The sequence below is a fragment of the Homo sapiens genome, chromosome 8 (genome assembly GCF_000001405.40).
Source record: "Homo sapiens chromosome 8, GRCh38.p14 Primary Assembly".
NCBI lineage: Eukaryota > Metazoa > Chordata > Mammalia > Primates > Hominidae > Homo > Homo sapiens.
In genome coordinates, this window is record NC_000008.11 from 47195871 (window position 1) to 47209282 (window position 13412).

General features: G+C 45.7%; 1 gene segment (V, D, J or C); it reads right to left on the reverse strand.

Moving 5' to 3' along the window:
* Positions 1-2100: 2100 nt before the first annotated feature.
* Positions 2101-7036, reverse strand: IGLV8OR8-1 (immunoglobulin lambda variable 8/OR8-1 (pseudogene)). The segment is given in 5 exon segments: positions 2101-2228; positions 2472-2756; positions 4542-4550; positions 6584-6879; positions 6982-7036. Coding segments are annotated over 5 exon segments (764 nt in total).
* Positions 7037-13412: the final 6376 nt, after the last annotated feature.

Below are 13412 nucleotides of genomic sequence, written 5' to 3' on the forward strand. Positions count from 1 at the left end.
CTGACAAGGAGAAAGCCTTGGTAAGGTCATCCTTGGCCCAGCCAATGCCACAGGCTCAGGCTCCTGCCTCTGCTCCCCGCTTCTACCCCGAGGAGTGTGGGACATGGATGCTGCCCCAACCTGTAACATCACACCACCCAAGAAGGCAGGGACATCAGTGGTCCATGCCATGAAGGAAACTTCTAATGAATTTGTAGTAAAATCTCTTATCTTCTAGGTAGAATATGTGACATTCTTAAATTAAACAAATGAATCTTCATTTTGAAATATCGTTATTCTTTTTGTTATTTCTACTATGATTTGACAGTATTCCAGGTTAAATTTGTTCTTAACAGCTCTGTCAGCAGCCGTCATGGGTGGTTCTAGATTAACATAGAAACAGTCCTAGTATCTCACCTTGAGGACTAATGCTTTTCTCTATTCCTTAGTTGTTTTTAATGGCTCATGGTTCTGGATGCCTCCTTCCCCCCATTTGAGCAGCACAGCAGAAAGAAAAAAAAAAGGCTGCTGGATACCTCCTTTCCAGTGGCCCACAAGGGTGTGGATGAAAGTATAAGGCAGGGGACAGAGTGCAGGGCCTGGCTGGGTAGGGCTGACCCAGGAGGCTGATCCAGGGGTGGGGCACCCCATCTAGGTTAAAGACGCACTGTCATTAAGACACTAGGGAATTATAATCTATTTCATTAATTTTATATTTATTTTTATGAAGACATTGACTGAAATTAATGGGAAGTTTCTTCAGCATTTATTGAAATGCTTATTTAATATTTTTATATTTGAATATTTTGCAGATGAGGTCAATGCTTCAGTGACCCCATCCCCCTACTGCTCTCCAGCCTGAGCAATGAAGCAAGATCTCAACTCTAAAAAAAAAAGGAAAATATTGCAACGGGAAAGGGTTAATAAAAAGGCCTTGAGGTGGCTGGGTGCAGTGGCTCACGTCTGTAATCCCAGCACTTTGGGAGGCTGAAGTGGGCAGACTATCTGAGGTCAGGAGTTCAAGACCAGCCTGGCCAACATGGTGAAACCCCATCTCTACTAAAAATACAAAAATTAGCCAGGTGTGGTGGTGGGCACCTGTAATCCCAGCTACTTGGGAGGCTGAGGCAGGAGAATCACTTGAACCCAGTAGGTGGAGGTTGTGGTGAGCCAAGATCACACCGCTGCACTCCAGCCTGAGCGACAGAGCAAAACTCCATTGCAAAAAAAAAAAAAAAAAAGGCCTTGAGGTAAATCCACTGTTTCCACCCTTATGACTTACCCTGTCTTTAAATAAAGGTATTATATTATTCTTAACTTATTATAAACATTTAATTTTATTTATTTTGGCTCTGTTAATTTATTTTTATCACTGATCTTCATGTTTGAGTCCCAACACCTGCTAGGCAACATGACATACTCCCCCATTTCCAGCATCTTCCAGGAAACCCACAGAGCCAAGGCTGGTGCCTTCACTGAGTCATGAAGAAATGAGGATGCTTGTCTTATTTTCCCACCTAAAATGTCTTAGATTTATCCCACACCTTGGCAATCTCACATGGTCAGGGGCTCAAGGTCATGAGCAGCACTAATGACTGGGTCCACTGGTGTCTGGCTCCCCTCTCTGCCCTCCAGCCAAGTTTATTTCTGTGACTCTTAGAGCAGCCTCACCCCATGGTTTTCTGTTCCTCCAGGAAGATTATTTTAAAATGAGTGATGGTTCATCGCTAATATAGAGAATAGAGCTCTCTCCTGCATGCGGGTGCTGTATCCAGGGCCCAGACTGACGCCCTCTGAGCAGAAGCATCTCCATATCACTCCTGGACCCTGAGCTGGGCATGGCCTGAACCAGCCTCTTTGGGCCTCCTCCAAAGTCTCCACTGAGAGATTTTTAGCTTTAAACAAAACATTTCTTCCTGAATAACCATGAACAGAGTGAAAAGAAATGAGAAGTGAACTGATTTAAAAGTTAAACTGAAGAAAATGGTACCACATTGTCAGATCCATTTGGGAAAATCAGTTGCTATTTAAAGATCTGACAACAGAAGTCACCCCCTGAGCTGGACTTGGTCAGAACCACTAGCGGGGTGACTGCGCCAGGCAAGGGGAAAAGAGAGTAGGTTAGCGCCTCACTTCCCCATGGGTCTGGGGCACTGTGTAAGCCTGCAAGCTGCTACAACAATAATAGTAAGCCTTGTCCTCAGGCTGCAGCCCAAGGATGTGCAGAATCCCTGCATTGGCTGAGGCATCTTTGGATCCAGAGAAGCAGATGGGACCCCAGAGCCCTGTAGCTTACTAGAGTTTGAGGAGTATCTCAAGAGAAACCTGGGAGGACTCCCTGGCCTCTGCTGGAAGCAGTACATTGCAGTCACCAACACTGAAGCCCCACTGCTCAGGGTGCAGGTGAGTGTGGCTGATGCTCCAGGCAATGCAGTGAGGGAGGGCGCTGAGTCAGCACAGGCTGGGAGAAAGAACTGCAGACGCAGACTCACATGGGGGCTGGGGCGGGGCCAGGGTGAAGTCCCTTGGGGGTCTGAGCCAGAGGGGCTGACAAGCTAAGGAGCTCACCCTGGACAACCAAATTCTGTCCTCACCTGTGCAATAATGGTGGAGCATGAAGAAGACAGTTGTCCAGGCCACAGTGGACACAGTACTCTTGCCTGTAATGAAGGCTGCTGGTTCAGGCCTCTTTTTATCTTTGTTGCTCTGAAAGAGGAGGAGATGTTTATACAAGTGTGTTCTCCTCCTGGTGATCTCTGTTCCACCTGAGAAGACAGCTGCAGTCTGACATTTATTCTTTAGACACAGGAGGCTGGTGGGTGAGATGCAAAGTTTGTCCCATGGGAGGATCAGACAGGAAGCAGATACTAGAACCCTCTACAGACTCTGCCCCTCTCAGGGAGGACACAGTGCTGAGTCGTCATAGCAACACAGGCACCAATGCCCAGCCCTTGGGAGTTTGGAGGGTAGCACAGATGGCATGCAGGACCCTGAAGGGGGCACATGGGGCCCATCACTGCTGGCACAGAGCCTGACACAGGGAGGGTATAGCCGCCTGTGCATGGCGACAAGTGACTGGCATTTTCCATTTACCATAGATCCCTGTTTCTGATATCTAAGGGGGCTGCGCTATCTCCTCTGCTAACACCCTCCGTCCACCTTCTCAGAGGAAAACCTACACAAGCAAACAATGATAAAAATAATAACAATGCATTTACATCACCAATCTACTTGCTGAATTTTTGTTTTGTTTTGTTTTTTGAGCACCATGTTGCCCATGCTGTGGTGCAGTGGCAGGATCTCAGCTCACAGCAGGAAGCCTCGACCTTCCAGGCTTGAGCAATCCTCCAATCTCAGCCTCCTTAGTAGCTGGGACTACAGGCACAGCCCAGCATGCCTGGCTAATTTTAATTATTTTTAATTAAATAATTTTAGTTACATTTAAATTTAATAATTTTCACTGGAGATTAGATCTCACTATGTTGCCCTGGGTGGTACTGAACTCCTGGGATCAAGAGATCCTACCACCTTGACCTCGTAAAGTAGTTGGGATTACAGGTGTGAGCCACTGCATCTGGCCTGAATTTTTTTTATTTGATGTCCTCAGATAAAAGAAAATGTTTTACCAATTTTTTTTTTTGAGACAGAATCTTGCTGTGTTGCCCAGGCTGGAGTGCAGTGGCATAATCTCGGCTCACTGCAAAGTGTGCCTCCCAGGTTCAAGCGATTCTCCTGCCTCAGCCTCCCAAGTAGCTGGGATTACAGGTGCTCACCATCACACCCGGCTAATTTTTGTATTTTTAATAGAGATGGGGTTTCACCAGGTTGGACAGGCTGGTCTCAAACTCCTGACCTCAGGAGATCTGCCCGCCTAGGCCTCCCAAAGTGCTGGGATTCACAGGCCTGAGCCACCACACCTGGCCTGTTGTACCATTTGTTCAAATTTTCTTTTATATAATTTACTAAATTTACTAGTTATTTTCTAATAGATAAATTCAATGTTTATTTTTGTCTACTGAGACCAAAAAATAAGGATTTTGAACTCTTTATAATACATTTTATTTCATTAGTTGCAAATTTGGCAATTCTAAAATTCATTCTAATAAATTTTCAGTACCATGTATTCTATTCTTGGTAGATATTCATAGCATTCAAAACTTTTAAAATAAATGAATTCTGTCTTTATAATATTCATATCCATTTTTATTGCCTCTGTTATTGAATTGGCAGAAATTCCAGGTTAAAATCTTGCACAATAGCTGTATCTGTAGCCATCATGTAGGATCCCAGATTAAAATGCAAACAATCCTAGTAGTTTTCCTTTAGAAGTAATGATTTCCTCTAGTCTAAAAATACACAATCTGTAAGAAATTACAGAAGTATATTTCATTTCTTACTTTCTAGGTTATTTTCATTAAGGCAAGAAAGATAATTAAACTTAATGGGAAGCCTCATAAGCATTTATTAGGAAAATCATGTGTGTATTTCAATTTGAATCTTTTGCAATGAGAAAGAAGCCAACAAAATGACCTTAAGAAATCCCCATCTCCCACCCTCTCAACTGATCCCACCTTTATCTCTCTGGGTCACCATGAGGTGTCTTCTCCACTGATCCTCATGTTTGAGCTCCAACACCTTCTAAGTAACCTTGACCCTCTCCTTCCAGGATTCTTCCAGGGCACTGACAAATCAAATCAAAGGCCAGTGTCTTTTTTTTTTTTTTTTTTTTTTTTGAGACAGACTTTCACTCTTGTTGCCCAGGCTGGGGTGCAGTGGCACAATCTCGGCTCACTGCAACCTCTGCCTCCCGGGTTCAAGCGATTCTCGTGCCTCAGCTTCCCAAGTAGCTGGGATTACAGGAGCCCGCCACAGTGCCTGACTAATTTTTTGTATTTTTAGTAGAGATGGAGTTTCATCATGTTGGCCAAGCTGGTCTTGAACTCCTGACCTCAGGTGATCCACCCACCTCGGCCTCCCAAAGTAGGCCAGTGTCTTAATTGTGTGATAAGTACACGGGGTAGTTGTTTTCTTTGTCCTCATAAACTGTCATGGATTTCTCCTGACCTGGATAATAAACCGCACATTTGCAATCTCAACACAGCCATGAGACCAGGGAGTCAGGACTAAAAACTCAGGTGCCAGACACAGGTAGGGCTGGTTGGTTTCTTTTCACAGGGCTTCCTGTGCAGGACAGTCTTGAAATTTGCCCTCAGGTGTGTTAGATCCCCCACAGCACCTCCTTTATCTCACTGAGAGGTTCTCTGAGGTGACCCCAGAACCCAGGCAAGTAGAGGAAGCTCCTGGATCTAGGGTGGCCAGGAGACAGACTCAGGGGAGGGGAGCAGGGAGGGAGCCTGAGGTCGGCTCAGCAAAGCTCAGCCGTGCAGTCACAGGTCATCCCCAGGTGGCTCCAAGTCTTTGTCACCGCTCAGTCCTCCTCATCTTGCCAGCGTCATGTTAAGAGACACTGTTCAGGACAAGTATATATATGTTCTGAGTGGATCTCAGTGGAACTGTGATCCGCTGGGATAATCTGTGATAAGATGTAGAGGATGGGGAAGGCTGATCCCTATGTCTTACAAAGATCCTAAGAACCAGAGCTGCAGGTAGGTCAGCTCAGTGAGAGGGAGAAGAGATTCTGGAGCCAATCCTACAGGAGATGGTCTCTAATAACAGAAATATTCATATGAGCTACTAAATGTACCCTAAGAAAACTTATGGTCTTGGAAATTCCTAAAGGGGCTTATGTCTTTTTTTTTTTTTTTTTTGTAGTGATGGAATCTCACTATGTGGAAGAGGATGGTCTCAAACTCTTGGCCTCAAGCAATCCTCGTGCCTCAGCCTCCCAAAGTATTAGTTATTATAGGCATGAGTCACCACACCTGGCACCTAAGAACGTATGTTTTTGGAAATTCCTCCCATCTCTGTCTGCAGAAATAAAGTTATAAATTTGTCCATGGCTTGAGATTTTAAGTCTGTTTCTGAGCATTCTGGAGGTTTTGAATGGGAATTTAGGAGAGGGGGGTCATGGAATATTACCTGAGATCATTTTAAACAGAGATTCCCCAGGAATAATTTCATAATAATAAAAGTAGGCTCTTCCCAAATATTAATGCTAACAAAAATCTCATGTACATCTTGTTAAATACAAATTACTAGGCACCAACACAAATTTCTGATTCAGTAGGTCTAGGTTGGAGAATTGCATTTTTAACAAGGCACTTGGCAAGGCCCTTACTTCAGTAATAAATGAAATACTAAATTGGTCTCCATGGACAAATTAATGAATGAGCATATGTCAGTTGATTCTCTTTGAATAAGAAGAGTCTTCCTGGAGCACAGGCGTCTCTGTGACTCACCGTGAGTTTACATATTCATGGAAGCGTCACACTGGGGAGATGGACACACCTTGGGAGAGACTAGATAAGGCACCTGGCAGTGAACCCTTGCACAGGACACTGGGGCAAGGAGGTTCCCAGCTCATGGTGTTGACATTCCCACCCTCTCAACTTCTCTCTTGCTTCTAAGGGCTGAATCTTTCTGAGTATGTAAAGAGGTTTTAGTTGCACCTCCTCATGGGTTTAAATCACTGTGGAATTGCCACTACCCATGTACAGCACACAGTAATGATCAGAGTCATCATCTACTGAGTCCCCGTGATGGTGAGGGCAGCTTTGTTCCCAAGGATGGAGCCAGAGAAGCGACCAGGGACCCCAGAAGGGCAGGTGTTTGGGCTGCAGATGAGCATGTGTGGAGCCTGGCCTGGGGTCTGCTGGTACCACCTGGGGTAGTGACTGGTAGAGACTGAGCCAGAGCTCAGGGCACAGGTGAGTGTGACCGTCCCTCCAGGAGACCCTGAGAGTGATGGCTCCTGGGTCACCACAGACTGAGAATCCACCCCTAAAACCAACAAGAGAGACAGAGTTATGGTCATGGGGATAAGGGTAACCTGGATCCTGCTTTGTGTGGTCCCTCCAGGGATGCAGAGTCCCTTTCCCTGACCTGACCCATAAGCAAGGAGCCCAAGGAGAAGCATCATGCAGGCCATGGTGGGGACAGTCACGTGGGCCAGGCTTCTCCGCTGGGGTTTGTTGTCCTCATGGCCTTTTCATGGCTCTACAGACCCAACAGGGGAAAAAGTTATTTATGCAAATCAGCTTCCCCTCCCTTCCTGCAGCAGTTTTCACCCTGCTGTCCCCTAAGAGAGACCTTGAGAGAGGCAGATGCTGAGACCTCACACAGACCCACGACCACACAGGGCTGAGACACTGAGGAATGAGTGTTGATGCCTCTCCCCAAATCAGCTCTTCCAAGCCCTTGGTGACCTCAATCCAACTTTCCTTCTCTGGAAAGCTCAAGGGCTGAAGGAGGGAGATAGGTGTTTTCTCCTTCCTGCCACATAATCTTGTTTATGGCAAACCTAACCCCATCCTTGGGAGCATTTTCTTCCCTCCCCAGTGAAATGATTGCTACTTTCTTTGGGAGTGAGTAGCAGGGCCTCCTTCCTCCAGCAGAGGGCACACTGGGAATCCACAGAGCCGTGTCTGGGGTGGGCTCTCTAACCACGTCCCAAAGCAGGGTCTGACTCTGTCCCAGGCGTTGTCTTCAGTAACCTCAGTGTGGGGCCCAGGGCTGAGGGGACCTAGGCACGGAGCAGCACTGCCAGGCTGGGGGTGAACTCTCTCACACACTAAGAAGCCATCAATGGTAAGGAGGACCTCCAGCAGAATTGCAGATTTTGAGGAGAAAGATGATAAATTTACCATTATATTATGGGATTTATCCCAACATCAAAAATAGCAAACTAGGAAAACACGCATCACATAACCGGAAATAGAAATGGCACTGTGTGTGAACAAGTTAGTGTGAGCATCACGGAGCAGCTTAAAACACCTGATGCCGTGAATCCCTCAGCAGTTCCTCCATCAGCAGAGTTTTCTTTCTTAAAATGAGTGTCGGAGAGAAGGGATAAATTGGTGGCACACAGGATTTTTATGTGAGAACTATTCTGTAGGGCACATAATGGTAGATACGAGACACTATGCCTTTCTCAGAACTCTCAGAGTGCATAATGCAAAGCTGAAGCCTAATGTAGGTTATAGATTTTAGTTAATAACTATTATTATTTGTCAATAATAATTATTATTATTTGTCAATTATAATAATTATTATTTGTCAATTATAACAAACATACCACACCAATGCAAGATGTTAACAATAAGAGAAACTGGGTGACCACAGTCTAAGAATGCTTAGAAACTATGTGTGCTCTCCGCTGAATTTCTGTAAGCTTAAAACTTCTCTAAAAATAGTCTATTAATTAAAAAGATTGAGTGTTCACTTTTCCATCAATTATAAAAATTACCATGAAATCAAATGGTCTTTCTTTGACAATATTTGCAGAGTCAAATTCAGTTGAATTTTGCCTTGAAAGAGGGTTTCCTTTTAAAAGACATATTAAATCCATTAATGTGCACACACACAGACACACACAGTCACACATACACATATACACACACAGAGACGCACATGCACATATACACAGATACGCACACACACACACATGCCCAGGCACACAGGCACGTACACACACATATAGACAGATATGCACCATCACACATACACACGTGCACACATGTAGAGTCACACAAGCACACATACACAGATGCACACTCACACACATGTCCTCACATGATTCCAAAACAGAGCAATGTCCTGCATGTGTCCAGTCAGGCTTCCTCCCACAGCACAATAGGGTCAGTGGGGAAGCCCCTTTGCTTCTTCCTCTCATTCCACCAAAGCACTGTTGGGTGCAGGGGCCATGGCCGTGCTTACAAGAACCCCACAGGCCAGCCAGGTGCGGTGGCTCATGCCTGTAATCCCAGCACTTTGGGAGGCTTAGGCAGGCAGATCATCTGAGGTCAGGAGTTCGAAACCAGCCTGGCCAACATGATGAAACCCCGTCTCTAATTTAAAAAAAAAAGTACAAAAATTAGTCAGGCATGGTACCGGGTGCCTGTAATCCCAGCTAGTTGAGAGGCTGAGGCAGGAGAATCGCTTGAACCCAGGAGGCGGAGGTTGCAGTGAGCTGAGATTGCACCACTGCACTCCAGCCTGGGTGACAGAGCGAGACTCTGTCTCAAAAAAAAAAAAAAAAAGAACCCCACAGGCCAAAGCTGAACCGGCTCAGGAGGTGGTACTATGGAACCATCTGAAAGACACGCTGGGTCAGGAATGTTGAGCTCGCCTCTATTTTCACCACAGAAAACAGGAGTCATGTGTGCACAGCCTCCTAAATGGGCCAATGGTCCTCAATCTTGCATGTCTCAAGATAATCTGTGGAGCTTCATAAATGTATAGCTCCTTGGGTGAAAATTCTGATTCAGGAGGTCAGGTGAGGTATAGATTTCCATAGTACAGAAAATAAAAGTTCCTCGGATGGTTCTGATGTTGAGCCAAGATGTATAAATCACTAAAATAAGCCATTGGAAAACATGATTGATTGTAAGGATATGGGTATGGATAAGGATTTAGGAGATGCCCTGAGGTCCTCTCTCTTCCAGAACCTTATTCTTTTCTTCATAGGCATGTGCCATGCTTGGTAATTTCACATTAACTTGTTTTGTGTCTGTCTCCCTCACTAGAATGTCAGCTTCTTAAGGGCAGGCACTGTGGCTGCTGTATTCACACCAATACTCCCGGTACCAGTATCTGGGAAGGCCTAGTGCTCAATAAATATTCACTGAATGAATGACAAGGAGCTGACTTTATGTACTTTTCATTGTCTTATATTTCAGATAGTGACTATATTTTTTTTTCTGTAAAAAATACAAGCATCCAAGTATGGTGGGAAAATCTACAAACACTATCACACACACAGAGACAAGAGCACACATACAGCAGTGACTGATGAAAGCTTAGGTGAGCTCTTAGTTCTCAAGGCTGTAGACTGAGGGAAGGGAGAGGAAGCAGGTTGGGGGCGTGTGTGTGCAACCCTTTTCCTCACTGAGTTGCAGGTAGGGGCATTGTGAGGCCAGCACCTCCAGCCTGGAACACTGATCCAGGACCCCCTAGTGTCTGGGGCTTGAGGCCCCACCCTGTCTTCTCAGGACTCTAAGCACATCTATTTCCAGGTATTTTCAGCTGCCACAGCCAGGAGGAACAGAATTGTTCCCCTCCCTTTCTGAGGCTCACTTTTAAAGCACTGGACTTGTGGAATCCAAGGCTCTCCCTGAAACACCAGTTCTGAGTGGATTTAAGAGGGTGGGGAGGGGAAGGGATCCTCCCCAACTAAATTTCACAGCTGCCCTCCTCATGCAATACAGGCCACGGCCTGCAGATGGGCAACAGTGATGGAGAGAAGCAGGAGTAGTACAGAATGAATTTGTGAAGACATGCACACACATGCACACACACACACATTTGCACATGCATGCACATGCACACATACCCCACTGCAAGAGAAAGGAATGTGACCCGTGGGCTGGTCTCTGGGCTGGGAGGCCCTGAGGCTGAGCCTATGGGAATCAGTCAGGAGGTTCTGCTGTTGCTCAGGCTTCTGCCTAGAAGCACCTTCTGCAAGATTGATGCTCCCCAGAGACTGGGGAAGAATCAGTAACTACCTCCTCCCCTGGCTGCCTGAGAACACCCAGGGCTTGTTATAGAATCTAACTGGGGTCCACTCACCCAGCGCAGTAAAACCAGATATCTAAACTGAGGGTTTTGCAGTGAATAGAAAGGAAGGCATTTATTGCAGGGCACCAAGCAAGGAGAATCTGGCGGGCTCCTGCTTAAAATCTGAACTCCCCGGTGGCTTGCAGATAAGGGTTTTTAAAACTAGTAGTACATTTCAGGAAAGCAGAAGCTACAGGCAAAATCACAAATCAATACACAGAAGTTACATGTTGTTTTTGGCCCCAAAGGGTGGGATATCTTGAAGCAGGGGCTTACAGGTCATAGGTAGATTCAAAGATCTTCTGATTTGCAGTTGACTAAAATAGAGAAGCTTTGTTTAAACATTTGGGGTCAGTAGAAGAATGTTAACTGGTTATGAGGAATGACTTTCTCTAAACCCCTTGGGAAGAAACTTAGAACCAAAAATCGTTTAAAGTTTAGTCTTCACTTCCCCTTTATCTGGGGGAATATGTCAGTGGATCCTTTCTGTGGGGTCCTCAGTGGGGATCCAAGCCTCTGAAAGACAACTCAGGGACATAAGCTAAGAGATTATCATTGGTTTCTGTAGGGAAAGCTAATATCTCTGGGACTCTAACCTCTTTAGCTATTGTTTTAGCCTACTGTTGTCTTCTTAACAAGTCACTTATTTACTTGTTGGGGATTGCGAAGTGCCTGGAATTGCCCTCAGAGGAACTCAGGATTTTCCTTTATTTCTGTGCTTGGGGTCTGCAGGCCCCTTAAAAAGGGGGTTCTTGCTTTCTCTCACATCCCTTACCCCAGGTTAACATAGTCAAGAATCTGAGAAAAAGGCAATGAAAATAAAACCTCTGTGTGTCTCACTTGGGAAGAATCAACTGTGCAGCTCCAGAAGTCACAGCTGCTCTCAGGTGAGCCTCCTTCCTAAGCTCTCTCCCAGGGCTGCTCCAGGGCAGCTGTCCCCATCCAGATGACTAGAATCCCACCCCATGAGACACACCAAGCCACTTGCTAATTCCTTGGGAGGTCTTGCATTTCCCCCGCAGGCCTCATCTCTGGAAACTCTCCCCTTATCCCACCCTCTCTCAAAGTGCCCTCTGCCCCAACCACGTGGCCAGTTGCTCTTCCTCTATACTGGATCCACTGAAGTCTCAATGAACTGCTCCTTTGCCCACACACCTCTCACTTCTGCTGTCACACTGAGCCCCCTCTAGGGCCCCCTGTGTGGCTGTGAATATTCCACCAGACTGAGTCTGGTTGAAGTCCACTGTGAGATTCTGCCCCTTCTCCCTGAGCCTGGCTCAGCAATGGCTGCATGGCAGACACCATCTATCCACCCATCAGAAAGGGGTCCTGATCCAGATACCAAGAGAGGGTTCTTGGATCTTGCACAAGAAAGAATTCAGGGAGAGTCCACAGAGTAACGTGAAAGCAAGTTTATTAAGAAAGTAAAGGAATGAAAGAATGGCTACTCCATAGGCAGAGCAGGGCATTTCCAAAAGCAAGAGGAGGAACATGCCCACCTTAGGTACAATGCCTTTTTATGTACAAGAGAGCAAAGCAAAAAAAATCATGGGGGAGATGTGCTCCACTACAAGGGCTCATGACAAAACAGTGTTCATCTTGTGTAACTACTGTCTTCCATAAGAATCTGTATTTTTATCTTTAAAGCAAAATATTCTTAAACTAAGAACTAAGAGGGCTCTTGTTCTTAAGATACTAGGACATCAGGACATTTCCTGAGTCTGTTAAGTCCTGCATCTGTTTAGTAAGTATTATTAATCTGTTCCCTTAACTACAAACATCTTGTGACTAAGAATGCCTGACCCCTTGAGAATGCACCCCAGCAGGTCTCAGCCTCATTTTACCCAGCCCGTATTCAAGATGGAGTCACTCTGGTTCCAACATCTCTGACAAATCAACCCCCAACCCTCAGCTGCTTCCTCCCCAGTTCCCAGAGCTCAAGGAGAAGCACAGGGGATTAATCCCCTCACACCATTGGGTCTTCCCTCCACACAATCTTCCTATAGTCTCAGAACAAGTTAGTTTATTAAAGGACTCAGAGATCCACATCCTAGGTGGTTCCGTTTACAGCCTGATAACTATAAAGTAAAACTTTAAGCCTTCCAATTGACTGATGGACCCTCCTCTTGGCCAAGGGCATTCCAAAGTTAACCAGAAAAACGAGTTCAGGCCATGATGGGAAGCTGGAGTTGAACACGGCTTATTATGCCTTCCTTCCTTTTGGAATTCAGGCACAGCTGACCAGCATGAACACTAACACAGAGACCTTAAGACTGATAGAACAGACTCTTTAAGTCTGATGAGAAACATTTACAATCCATTCTCTCTGAAGTCAGTTATCTGCAGGCTTCATCTGCATAAAACCTTGGTCTCCAAAACTCTTATCTTAACCTAGACATTCCTTTATTTTGATTCCAGGTCTTTAAATAATGACTTAACCAATGGCCAGTCAGAAAATCCTCAAATCCACCTATGACCTGGAAGTCACTCCCCACCTTTCCAGTTGTCCCACCTTTCCAGATAGAACCAATGCACATCTTACATGTACTGATTGATGTCTCAAGTTTCCCTAAAGTGTATAAAACCACACTGCAGGTTGGGCGCAGTGGCTCACACCTGTAATCTCAGCACTTTGGGAGGCCGAGGCAGGTGGATCACCTGAGGTCAGGAGTTCGAGATCAGCCTGGCCAACGTGGTGAAACCCGGTCTCTACTAAAAATACAAAACTTAGCTGGGCATGGTGGGCACCTGTAATCCCA